Raw genomic sequence first — 12,986 nt, 5'->3', positions numbered from 1 at the left:
TTTGTATATGTTGCAGTTTGGGGAGAGGGTCAGACATGCGATTATGTAGTGTCTTAGGAGGAATTTGGCTTGGCCTTAATTCTCAGTCATGAAGCTACAGTGACTCAGGGATCTGCTGGAACAATGACATGGAATTTACTCATCAATGGGCCATTAAAAATTAGACACACATAGCTGGGTGCCGTGGCATGCTGTAGTTCCAGCTAGTTGGGAGGCAGAGGCAGGAGGATTACTTGATCCAGGAGTTCCAGTCTGTAATAGGCTGTGATCACATCTGTGAATATCCATAGCACTCCCGCCTGGGCAACAAAGTGAGACCCCTACCTCTAAAAAAAAGATAGACAAGTAACTGATATTTTAGTGTATTTATTATAGGTTGAACAGTATACAATATTTTTCCCTATTTTAATTATTGTTATAATTTAGTAAGATTTAAGTATCACACCTCATGTAAAGGAGAAAGAGCTTCTATTGAATTAATGCCAGAATAATTATGATGTTGAAATTAAACTGGTACATAAGTGAATGATTGTCTTGGTAAGCACAGGGCTCATATTGTCTATTATTTAAACAATAGAGGGCTTTTCAAAGCTGATTTATTAAAAATACGCTGCAAAAATTGATTTAGGATACCACTTAAAATACAAATGTTTTCTCTGATTTTTGAGAAAAGCATTATTGAATGCATCGTTTCTCCCACTATGACTGAGCATCCTGAAGCATTCTGTTAGCTCCAGTACACACAGAAGAAAGCAGTTGCTTTTGCCCCTTAGAGTTCCTCCATAGACAGTACACTTTGGTATTTGTTTAAAAGAACCAAATTAGTTAAGAATCATGCAGATTTTGCCTCCTCTAGTTTGCCAATTTAATCACATACAACATAACTTGAGTTGTACATCTTGTATTCCATAGATTTTATGGCAAGACTTGTAGAATAAAAATGAAAAAGATACATGAGGGAGAAACATTGTGCTGTTTCAGTCACTTTACTAATGGTTTTATGTGGGCAATTTCATTTAATCTTCAGAACAATTCCATTATGGTCCTCATTTTCCCATACATTTGGAAGAACCAAGGTATGGAGACTAAAGAGCTTCCTCATGGTCACAGAACTGGTCATTTTCTGAGCCAGGATTTGAACTGGGCAGCCGGACTCCAGAGGATGGCTTTGTACCCAGGCCTGTGCAAGCGTAAGCCCTTCAATTGTACACTATTTGGATACTTTCTTGGAGTGTGGAAAGGAGGGTACACTGGGCCACAGTCTTAATATACATTCTGGAGAATGTCATTGTAAAAGTTAGTGAAATTATCAAGCTGGGAATTTACTCTCTATTTTTTTTTTCTTGTGGGGATTTAATCGACAATAGAAAGCAACAACTTTATGAAGTTTTTCAACAGGAACTCTGACCATAACTCTATAATAAACTTGTGAGAAACAGCCATGGTATAAGTTGACACCAGCTTGAATACGTTTTGGATCGTTGTCTGGTTCTGAGGAATAAGCCCCATTTGTCAGTGTGTGCCTCAAGAGGTGCGCATGGCAGCTTGGTGTCCATACGGCATCCATTCACAGGGAGGATTAGAAAACAATTTTGGGCCGGGCGTGGTGGCTCACGCCTGTAATCCCAGCACTTTGGGAGGCCAAGGCGGGCAGATCACGAGGTCAAGAGATCGAGAATATACTGACCAACATGGTGAAACCCCGTCTCTACTAAAAATACAAAAAATTAGCCGGGCGTGGTGGCGGGCGCCTGTAGTCCCAGATACGCGTGAGGCTGAGGCAGGAGAATGGCATGAACCCGGGAGGCAGAGCTTGCAGTGAGCCGAGATCGTGCCACTGCACTCCAGCCTGGGTGACAGAGCGAGACTCCGTCTAAAAAAAAAAAAATTTTTTTTGGAACAATATCAAGTGTTGTCATGAATAGACTCTTCAATCTTTCCGAGCAGAAGTGAAGCTCAAAGAATAATTTAGCTCCCCTAATATTACGTCAAGACTGGTTCAATGTCGAACTGAGTTGGTTGGTAGGAATTAAAACCATGCAGTGTTTATGATAAAATGCATATTGTTGAGAGCTGACCCTTTTAGCACCTATTTGTGAGATCTAAATTTCTTGTGTGTGTTATTTATGTGGAGAGAATAAAAGGAGTAGAATAGGAGACGTAGATACTCTATTCTGACAAGTTCACTCTGTTCTGGCTCCTTGCAATGCCTGAAGCAGAGATTCCAAATGTGGTTGTTTATGATACAGCCTGACTGGGTACCAGGAAGCATTTTCAAATAGTACTCTATTATTTCTTATTTCCTGAAAACAGATGCCTTATTTGAGACATATATTTAGATATCATTGTTATTTTATTTTCCTTCAAAGGAAATAATTAAAATTCAGTCTATTTTTGGATCTGGAGTGTCATTGTAATTCACATTCGCTAATTTTGGCAAGCAGTCTCCTACTGTTATGATTTTCCATTTCCTTACTTGGTACTTTCTGACATGAGAAACAGAGGGAAAGTTTTGATATTAAGTAAATGTGTTCTTCAGTCACATGTACAGCAGCAAATAATCAGTGGAACTTTTAGATAAATGAAGGCTTCATAATCGGACTTGACTTGATCTACTATAACAGATGAAAAATGAAGCAATATAAGGGTAAATACCAAAGATGGGTCAACTTTTAGTCCGTAACAAAGAACTTCTTCCCATGTTTTGGGGAACATGTGATATTTTGGGGAAGGCTGTCTGGTTTCTGGCTTATTACCTTACGGGCATGATAAAAAAAATCAGGGGAAAAACCAGATATTAATCACAAGTGACACTATTCATAGGTCATTTGGAATTATTTTCCATTATTGATTTGGAATTAGTGATGATATTTAGTTCAGCATTTTTATTACATTACTTTCTCTGTTAAACAATTCTAACATTTGGCACAGTGTATTTAAAAATTAATTATAATAAACTCCAGGAAGCTGACATGATTATTAGTTTCAAGCTTGATTATATAATCTAGTATTGAATAATAGAAACTCGAGAAGTTAGTTTTATAAAAAGAGAATAAATAAAAATATTAAGCATTTGAAAATATTTAATTGGAAACCATAATAAATATTAATATTGAAAGCCTTCCATTAATTAAAACATTGTCATTATTTTAGAAATGTACCATTTTATAGAAGATTAATAAAAAGTATTAAAAATTGAGTTGTGATGTAGTTTTAAGATATTATGTACTCTAGGTCAAAATGTTCCTTTAAATTCTCAAGACAACATAAATCTGACTCACAAAAATATTGTGTGCACTTTTGTGAAAAGGGTACTATTGTTAAAAAATATGAACTTTCTCTCTTCTGGCTATTGTAACATTAAAATATGGTTTAATTTTCTGGACACTTAATTTTCTTTATCTCAGATCCCTTGATTATTACTTTTTTTTTTTTTTTATTTTGAGATGGAGTCTTGCTCCGTCACCCAGGCTGGAGTGCAGCGGCGTGATCTCAACTCACTGCAAGCTCTGCCTTCTGGGTTTGTGCCATTCTCCTGCCTCAGCCTCCTGAGTAGCTGGGAATACAGGCGCCTGCCACCACGCCTGGCTAATTTTTTGTATATTTTTAGTGGAGACAAGGTTTCACCGTGTTAGCCAGGATGGTCTCGATCTCCTGACCTTGTGATCTGCCTGCCTCAGCCTCCCAAAGTGCTGGGATTACAGGCATGAGCCACCGCGCCCGGCCACTTATTACTTATTTTTTATATTTTGTGTATTTACTATAGGTTTTTTGCTTTGTGGTTAACATGAGACTTAAAAATCATCTTGTTATAAGAGATTATTTGAAGCTGATAATACTTACCTGATTATGTTTAAAAAAAAAACAACTCTATACTTTTACTCCACCCCCACCCCCACATTTAAATTTTTCAATGTTACAATTTACATAGTTTTATACTGTTACCCTTAACAAATTATTGCAGCTATTATTATTTTTAACAGTTGTGTCTTTTATACTTTATTCTAAAGACACAAGTGACTTATATACTTTCATTACAGTATCAGAGTATTCTGAATTTTATTGTGTACTTACTTTCTCTAGTGAGTTCTATACTTTCATATGTTTTCATGTTACTTATTGGCATTCTTTTCTTTCAGATTGAAGAATTCCTTTTAGCATTTCTTATAAGACAGGTTTGGTGGTGGTAAACTCCCTCAACTTCTTTTAGCCTGAGAAAGTCTTTATTTCTTCATTTCTGAAGGGCAGTTTTGCTGGGCACCAAATTCTTGGTTGGCAGTTTTTTCCTTGCACTTTGAATATATCATCCCACTCTCACCTGGCCTTTAACATCTCTGCTGAGAAACCCACTGCTAGCCTTACTGTTATCCCCTTATATGTTTTTACTTCCTTTCTCTTGGTGCTTTCAGTATCCTCTCATTGTCCTGATTTTGAACAGTTTGATTATTTTGGTGTAATCTTGTTTGGATTAAATCTGATTAGAGAACTTTGACCTTCATGTACCTGAATATTTATAACTTTTTCCAAATTTGGAAATTTTCTGCAATTATTTTTATAAAATAATTTTTTTACCCCTTTGTCCTTCTCTTCTTCATGCACTCTTATAACTCAAACATTTGCTCTTTTAATGCTGTCCCATGAATCCTATAAGCTTTCTTCATTCCTTTTCATATTTTCTCTGTGATTGCATATTTTCAAATAAATTGCCTTTTAGTTTACAGATTCTTTTCCAGCTTAATCAGTTCCGCTACTGATGCCTTCTATTTTTTTAGTTCATTATTTATAATTTTTAGCTCCAGAATTATTGCTTTTTTTAAAAAAATTTTGATCTCTCTGCTAAATTTCTAATTTTGGTCATTTTTTTTTTTTGATGTCATGAAATTGTTTCTCTGTATTTTTTGAGCCTCTCTGAATGCCCCTAAAACAATTATTTTAAATTTTTTGTCAGATAGTTTACATATCTCCATTTACTTAGGGTCACCGAAGTCTTTTGATGGTGTTATATCTCCTTAGATTTTTATGTTTTTTGTTGCCTTACATTGATGGCTGTACATTTGAAGAAGAAGAGACTTGTTTTAGTCTTTAAAGACTGACTTTGTGAGAGCTCTTACAAGTTGAACCATCCTTGCATCCCTGGGATAAATCCCTCTTGCTCGTGATGAATGATCTTTTAAATATGTTGTTGAGCTTGGTTTGCTAGTATTTTGTTGAAGATTTTCGTAACCATATTCATCAGGGATATTGCTCTGTAGTTTTCTTTTTTCTGGTGTGTCTTTGATGGTTTTGGCATCAGGGTAATATGACCTCATAGAATGAGTTTGGAAGTATTCCCTCCTCCTTTATTTTTGAGATTAGTTTGAGTAGGATTGGTATTAGTTCTTTTTTAATCTTTTACCTGTTTAGAAAAAGAAAAGTGCAGCTCACTGCCAGCGCTCATTTAATTTTATTATACATAAACATGCTTTCAGAGGCTGAAGACAATCTGACTAATTTTCAAGGTGAAAATAAAATATGTAACCTGTTCATGGAGTTATTTGTAAACAGAACTATATCAGAATAGTCTGAATTGTCAGAATCATCTATTTCAGAATAATTAGATTCATCAAATAAATCTTCAGCCAACAACTGTTCAAGAATGATGTGAACATCATGCATAGGAATTTCACGTTTTCTAGGTTTTGACATTTTTAGCAGTCAAGAATTACTTTATTTTGTAAATGGAAATACCACTACTAAAACCAGAATGCTATAAATAGAATGACATTTTTTCTTTCCAAAGTTGATATGCTAGAGTGTTGCAAAAATAATAATGAAAGCAAGATATTTCGTGGCAAAATTTCAGGGTAAACACTGTTAGCTGCAGGTGCTGCTAGTGAGTATTCTTTGGGCAAATGGGAAAAGGATTAAATGGTTGGTAGAGTTTAGCAGAGAAGCCATCAGGTCCTGGGCTTTTCTTTGCTGAGAGACTTTTTATTATGGCTTCAATCTTGTTTCTTGTTATTGGTCTGTTCAGGTTTGGGATTTATTCATGCTTCAATCCTGGTAGGTTTTATGTGTCTAGGAAATTACACATTTCTTCTAGATTTTTCAACTTATTAGTATATAGTTGCTCATAGTAGGCAGAAATCCTTTGGATTTCTGTGTTATTGGTTTTAATGGCTTCTTTTTAAACTCTGATGTTATTCATTTGGGTCATCTCTTTTTCTTATTCTGGCTAAAGGTTTGTCAATTTTGTTTATCTTATATGAAAACAACTTTTCATTTCATTGATCTTTTGTATTGTTTTCTTTGTATCAATTTCATTTGTTTCTCCTCTGATCTTTAGTATTTATTTTCTTCTACTAATCTTGTCTTTGGTTTTATCTTGCTTTTGTAGTTCTTTAAGATGCATTGTTAGGCTATGTATTTGACGTTTTCCTTCTTTTTTTGCTGTAGGTGCTTATAAACATAAATTTTTCTCTTAGTACTGCTTTTGCTGTATCCTATAGGTTTTAGTATATTGCGTTTCCATTATCATTTGTTTCAAGACATTTTTCAATTTCCTTCTTAATATCTTCATTGACCCACAGATCATTCAGGAGCATATTGTTTAATTTCTGTGTGTTTGTGTAGTTTCCTAAATTTCTCTTGTTATTGATTTGTAGTTTTATTCCATTTGTGGGCAGAGAAGAGGTTTGATATTATTTCAAATTTTTTGAATGCTTTAAGATATTTTTGTGACTTAACATATGGCCTACTCTTGAGAATGACCCATGTGCTGAAGAGAAGAATGTGTATTCTGCAGCTGATGGATGAAATATTTGGTAAATATCAATTAAGCCCATTTGGTCTGTAGTGCAAATTAAGTTCAATATTTCTTTGTTAATTTTCTGTCTGGAAGATTTGTCCAATGCTGAAAGTGAGGTGATGAAGTCACCAGCTGTTATTGTATTGGAGGCTCTCTCTCTTTCTCTGATAATATTTGCTTTATCTATCTGAGTGTTCCAGTGTTGGGTATATATATATTTACAATTGTTATATCCTCTTGCTGAATTGACCCGTTTATCATTATATAATAACTTTCTTTGTCTCTCTTACAGTTTTTTGTCTTGAAATCTCTTTTGTCTGATATAAAGTGTAGTTACTCCTGCTCTTTTTTTGTGTGTGTTTGTTTCTGTTGGCATGGAATATCTATTTCCATCCCTTTATTTGCAGCCTATGTGTGTCTTTGAAGGTGAAGTGTGTTTCTTGTAGGCAACAGATCAGTGGGTCTTAGTTTTTTTGTTTTTTTTTTTTAATTCATTCAGTCACTCTATGTCTTTTGAGAATTTAGTTCATTTACATTCAACATTATTATTGATAAGTAAGGACTTACTCCTGCCATTTTGTTATTTGTTTTCTGGTTGTTTTGTGGTCTTCCCTTTCTTCTTTCTTTCCTTCCTATCTTCCTTTTAGTGAAGGTGATTTTCTCTTGTGGTATGATTTAACTTTTTGCTTTCTATTTTTTGTGTATCTGTTGTATGTTTTTTTTATTTGAGGTTACCATGAGGCTTGCAAATACTATCTTGTGATCCATTACTTTAAACTGATGAGAACTTAACACTGAGTGCAGAGACAAACAAATGCAAAGAAAACTAATAAAAACTCTACATTTTGACTTTGTCCCCACACTTTTAACTTTTTGTTATTTCTATTTATAGTTTATTGTGCTGTTTGTGTTTTGAAAAGTTATTGTATTTATTATTTTTGATCAGTTCATTGTTTAGTCTTTCTACTTAAGATTAGTTTATACACCACAATTACAGTGTTATAATATTCTGTGTACCATTACCAGTGAGTTGTGTACCTTCAGATGATTCTTATTGGTTGTTAACATTTTTTTCCTTCTGATTGAAAAACTTCCTTCAGCATTTTTTTTGTAGAACAGGTCTAGTGTTGACGAAATCCCTCAATTTTTGTTTGGGAAAGTCTTTATTTATCCTTCATATTTGAAGGATATTTTCAATGGATATATTATTTTAGAGTAAAAGTTTTTTTCCTTCAGCACTTTAAATTTTTCATGCAACTCTTCTGGCTCATAAGGTTTCCACTGAAACGTCTGCTGCCAGAATTATTTGAGTTCCATTTTATGTTATTTGTTTATTTTTTCTTGCTGCTTTCAGGATATTTTCTTTATCTTTGACCTTTGGGAGTTTAATTATTAAATGCATTGAGTTAGTCTTCTTTGGGTTAAATCTGCTTGGTGTTCTATAACCTTCCTGTACTTGGATATTTATATCTTTCTCTATGTTTGGGAAGTTCTCTGTTATTATCCCTTTGAATAAACTTTCTTTCTTTTTTTTTTTTTTTTTTTAGTTCATGTCTTTTATTAAGTCATACAGTTACTTGTCTTCTGGTTTGTTGAAACAGTAAGTCAGACAACATTTGCCACAATAATGTCTGTCAAAGTGGCTTGCCATAAACACCCCAGCACCACATTCATCAGAAGGGCACTCTCGATGAAGGCAACTAATTTTGCCATTCTCATCCACCTTATAATATTTCAGGAGAGCCAGCTTAACCTTCTTTCTCTTGTGCTTATTCTTCCTGGGAGTGGTGTAAGACTTCTTCTTCCTTTTCTTAGCACCACCACGAAGTCTCAACACAAGATGAAGAGTAGACTCCTTTTGAATATTGTAGTCAGACAAAGTACGTCCATCTTCCAACTGCTTGCCAGCAAAGATCAGTCTCTGCTGATCAGGAGGAATTCCTTCCTTATCCTGGATCTTGGCCTTTACATTATCTATTGTATCCGAGAGTTCAACCTCGAGGGTGATGGTCTTCCCCATAAGGGTTTTCACGAAAATCTGCATTTTGGTGGCGGCTCCACTGCAGATGGCGGATCGAAAAGCTGAATAAACTTTCTACTCCTATATCTTTCTCTACCTCCTCTTTAAGGCCAATAACTCTTAGATTTGATTTTTCGAGTCTATTTTCTAGATCTTGTAGGTGTACTTCATTGTTTTTTTTTTTTCTTTTGTCTTCTCTGACTGTATTTTCAAATAGCCTGTCTTCAAGCTTACTAATTCTTTCTTCTGCTTCATCAATTCTGCTGTTAGGAGACTCTGATGCATTCTTTAGTATGCCATTTGCATTTTTCAATTCCAGAATTTCTGCTTGATTCTTTTTAATTATTCCAATCCCTTCGTTAAATGTATCTGATAAAATTCTGAATCCCTTTTCTGTGTTATCTTGAATTTCTTTGAGTTTCCTCAAAACAGCTATTTTCAATTCTGTTTGAAAGGTCACATATCTCTGTTTCTCCAAGATTGGTTCCTGGTGCCTTATTTATTTCATTTGATGACATCATGTTTTCCTGGATGGTACTGATGCTTGTGGATGCTCTTCAGTGTCTGGGTACTACTGAAAGGTTAGGCATTTATTGTAGTCTTCGCAGTCTGGGTCTGTTTGTACCCATCCTTCTTGGGAAGGCTTTCCAGGTATTTGAAAGGACTTGGGTGTTGTGATCTATGCCATATCTGTATCAGTGGGTACTCAAAGTCCAGTAATGCTATGGTTCCTGCAGACTCATAGAGGTACCACTTTGTCAGTCTTGGATAGGGTTAGGAAGAATTCTCTGGATTACCAGGCAGACACTCTTGTCCCCATCCATCCCTTGCTTTCTCCTGAAGAAACAAGGTCTCTCTCTCTCTCTCTCTGTTATGAGCCACCTGGAGCTGGGGTTGAAATGACACAAGCAACCCTGTGGCTACCACCACTGGGACTGTACTGGGTCATACCTAAAGCCAGCACAGCACTGTGTCTCACCTAAAGCCTGACATAACCACTCCCTGGCTACTGCCTATGTTTGCTGAAGGCCCTAAACCTCTACAATCAGCAGGTGGTGAAGTCAGCCAGGCTCATGTCCTTCCCTTCAGGGTGGTGAGTTCTCCCAAGCTTCAGGTGGGTCCAGAGATGCCATATAGAAGCCAAGGACTAGAGTCAAAAACCTAAGAAATCTACCTGCTTCTTTATTCTACCAAATAAGATGAAGTTCTTCCCACTCTTTCCTCTCCTTTCCATAAGCAGAGGAGCCTCTTGCTGTGGTCACCACCATGACGGAACAATGGTAGGTATTACTAGGCTATCACCAATGTGCACTTAAGGTCCAAGTGCTCTTCAGTCAGTTTGTCATGAATGCTGCCAGGCCTGGGACTTACCCTTCAGGGCAATGGGCTCCCTTCTGGCACAGGGCAAGTCCAGAAATGCCATCCAAGGGCCAAGTCCTGGAATCAGGAACCCTAAGAGCCTGCATGGTGCTCTACCTCACTGTGGCTGAGATGGTAACTAAGGTGAAAGACCAAGCCTCTTTAAATTTTCCCTCTGCTTTTCTCAAGTAGAAGGAATCTCTCATAGTAGCTACCATACCTCAGAATGTGCTAGGTCTCACCTGAAGCCAGCACATCCCAGAATCTCTCCCCAGGCCCACGACATGCTATTTATGGTATTGCTGCTGGTTCTTTAGTGCTCAAGTGCTGTTTAGTCAGCAGGTAATGAATCCTGCCGGGACTAGGTCCTTTCCTTCAAGGCAATGGGTTCCTTCCTGGCCCAGGGTGTGTCTAGATATGTTATCCAAGAGGTAGGCTGCTCGACTCTTGTCCATTGCCATATTTTTCTGTGGGGAAGCTGGTATCCAAGATGCAAGACAAAGTCCTCTTTATTCTTCCCTCTCCTCTCTTCAAGCAGAAGGAAAGAGGCACCTTGTTGCTACGAGCTGTGCTGCTTAGGATCGGGGGAGGCATGGCACAAGCACTCCGTTAGCCTTCCTGGCTGCCTAAAACAAATGTCTCACTAGGTTCCATACCCCTGACATCCACTGGCTCTGAGCCCAGCATAGCACTAGGACTTGCCTCAGAATTGCAGTCCTTGTGGCCTAGACTTCCTTTTAAATTTATTTAGAACCCCAGAGCACTTTAGCCCGCAGTGGTGAGGCTTGCCAAAACTCAAGTTCCAACCACCAGGATGAGTGGCAATTCCCCTCTAGCTAGGGCTGGTCTAAATGTTCCTCCCATGGGTGAGTTGTTGGCTGAGTTTAGCCTAGTGTTGCTTTCTGCTGTGACAGGGCAGCACTGAGTTCAGTGCAGGGTCCCACACTCAATGCATTCTCCCTCCCCCAAATTCTTCATGCTACATGGCCACTGCTGGGGGATAGGGGCAGGATGGTGTTGGTGATTCGAGGCTGTCTTTCTTACCTTCTTCAGTGGTTCTTTCAGTGATACAAAGTTATCACAGCATCAGTGATCACAGCACCAGTGATCTCAGGTGCTGTGAGATTGTTCACTTGATTTTTGGTTCTTAGGAAGGTGCTTTTGTGTGTGTGTAGATACTTGTTAAATTTACTGTTCCTGTGTATGTATGGGGTGGGGAGGCAATTGGTGAAGGCTTCTATTAGCCCATCTTGCTTTACCTTCTTTTTTTTTTAATTTTTAAGAATAGAACTCGATTTATTGATAAGGGAATCAAGGAATTTTTAACTTTCTTTCCTACAAAATCAACTAAGTCAATAAAAAGAATTATAACTAGAGAAAAAAATGACCTGAGAAATGGCCACAATTCCAAATTAGAAACTGTGAACTCTGTTTATTGGTCATATATTGTGAAGATTATGTTGTAAGCCATCATATACTTGCTTGGACCTTGAGGAAGTTACATATTTGTCCTAAAAAAATAGTTACAATTCTGAAAAGAGCATTCAGTAATTTTTATGTAAGGAAAACTAGAATTGTTCCTAGAGTGACACAATTTGACACCAAGGAATACCAAGTGAGGCAGATCCCAGGACAAATGACGTTTTATTACCTGGGAACTAGGCTTCTTGTTGGAAGTAAAATGGATGAAGGGGGTGCTAAAGAGGGTCTTTATTACACTAAGCCACACTATTTACTTGAGTGCTAAAAATTGAGGAAAGATGTGCCCCCATTGCAGAGAAAATAGCAGTTTTAGTGAGATGGTAAGTATTGTTGGGGACAATGTATAATAATGGAGGCTGTCTTTTGATACATTTAGGCCGCTATAACAGAATACCATAGACTGGGTGGCTTCTAAACAACAGAAATGTATTATTCACAGTTCTAGAGGATGGAGAATCCTATATCAAGGTGCCAACAAATTCCATATGTGATGAGGGTCTGCTTCTTGGTTCATAAATATTTGTCTTCTGTCTGTGGATGGAAACGTGGTGGATGGAAAAGAGAACTCTTTGTAGTTCTTTGTATAAGAGCTGTCAACCCATTCATGAAGACTTCATCCTCATGACCTAATCACCTCCCAAAGACCTCACCCACTAATATTATCACTGGGGGTTAGGATTTCAGTGTATGCATTCTGGGAGCACACATACTTTCAGTCTTAAATAGAGGCTATATAATGTCCCAGAATACTCATTGCCTGTTACCTATTCTAACCCCTCTTTCATATAGTTTTAGAACAATTAGCAGATCCATTTATTAAAAAAGTAATAATTAGAAATGACTAGGACAGTACCTATGCATACAAATGCAAAAGGAGGAAATGAATATAATTAAAACTAGATGAAGAACATATATTGTGAGGGGAATTACCCAGAATAACAGAAAAAATAATTTTTGAATGATGTTAAGATAAAGAATTTTCCTGTATTTTAAACAAAGCAGAGAATACAATATCTCCAAAATAATATCATAAAGAAAACAGAATGAGGTGGAAGTAAGCTGGAAGAACTTATAAACAAAATGGAATAAAAAAGAAAACATAATGGAGATGAAAAACATATTAGAAGCAATGAAAAGAACATATACACAGTTGAAAACAGAATCAGTAAAATGGTAAGTAGATTTAATGAAATGATCTAAAATGAAATGGAAAAAATAAGGATATAAAGATGATTATAGGGAGTCCAATCCATGCATACATTTCTATAAGAGATAGAATTTTAATTCAATATTAATTATTTAATTCCAGTTTCTCATTTTAGGTTTTGATGTACTAGA

At 36.6% G+C, this 12,986-nt stretch overlaps 1 non-coding gene and 1 pseudogene across 1 annotated transcript; both read right to left on the bottom strand.

Moving 5' to 3' along the window:
- RPS27AP5 (ribosomal protein S27a pseudogene 5) lies at positions 8,331-8,879 on the bottom strand (annotated as a pseudogene).
- MIR4426 (microRNA 4426) lies at positions 8,624-8,686 on the bottom strand. Its single transcript, NR_039624.1, has one exon. It is a non-coding gene; the product is annotated as a microRNA 4426 (primary transcript).

This window comes from Homo sapiens, chromosome 1 (assembly GCF_000001405.40).
Source record: "Homo sapiens chromosome 1, GRCh38.p14 Primary Assembly".
Classification (NCBI taxonomy): domain Eukaryota; kingdom Metazoa; phylum Chordata; class Mammalia; order Primates; family Hominidae; genus Homo; species Homo sapiens.
The sequence above is the reverse complement of the archived record's forward strand: the minus strand, read 5'-3'. Positions and strand labels throughout refer to the sequence as shown.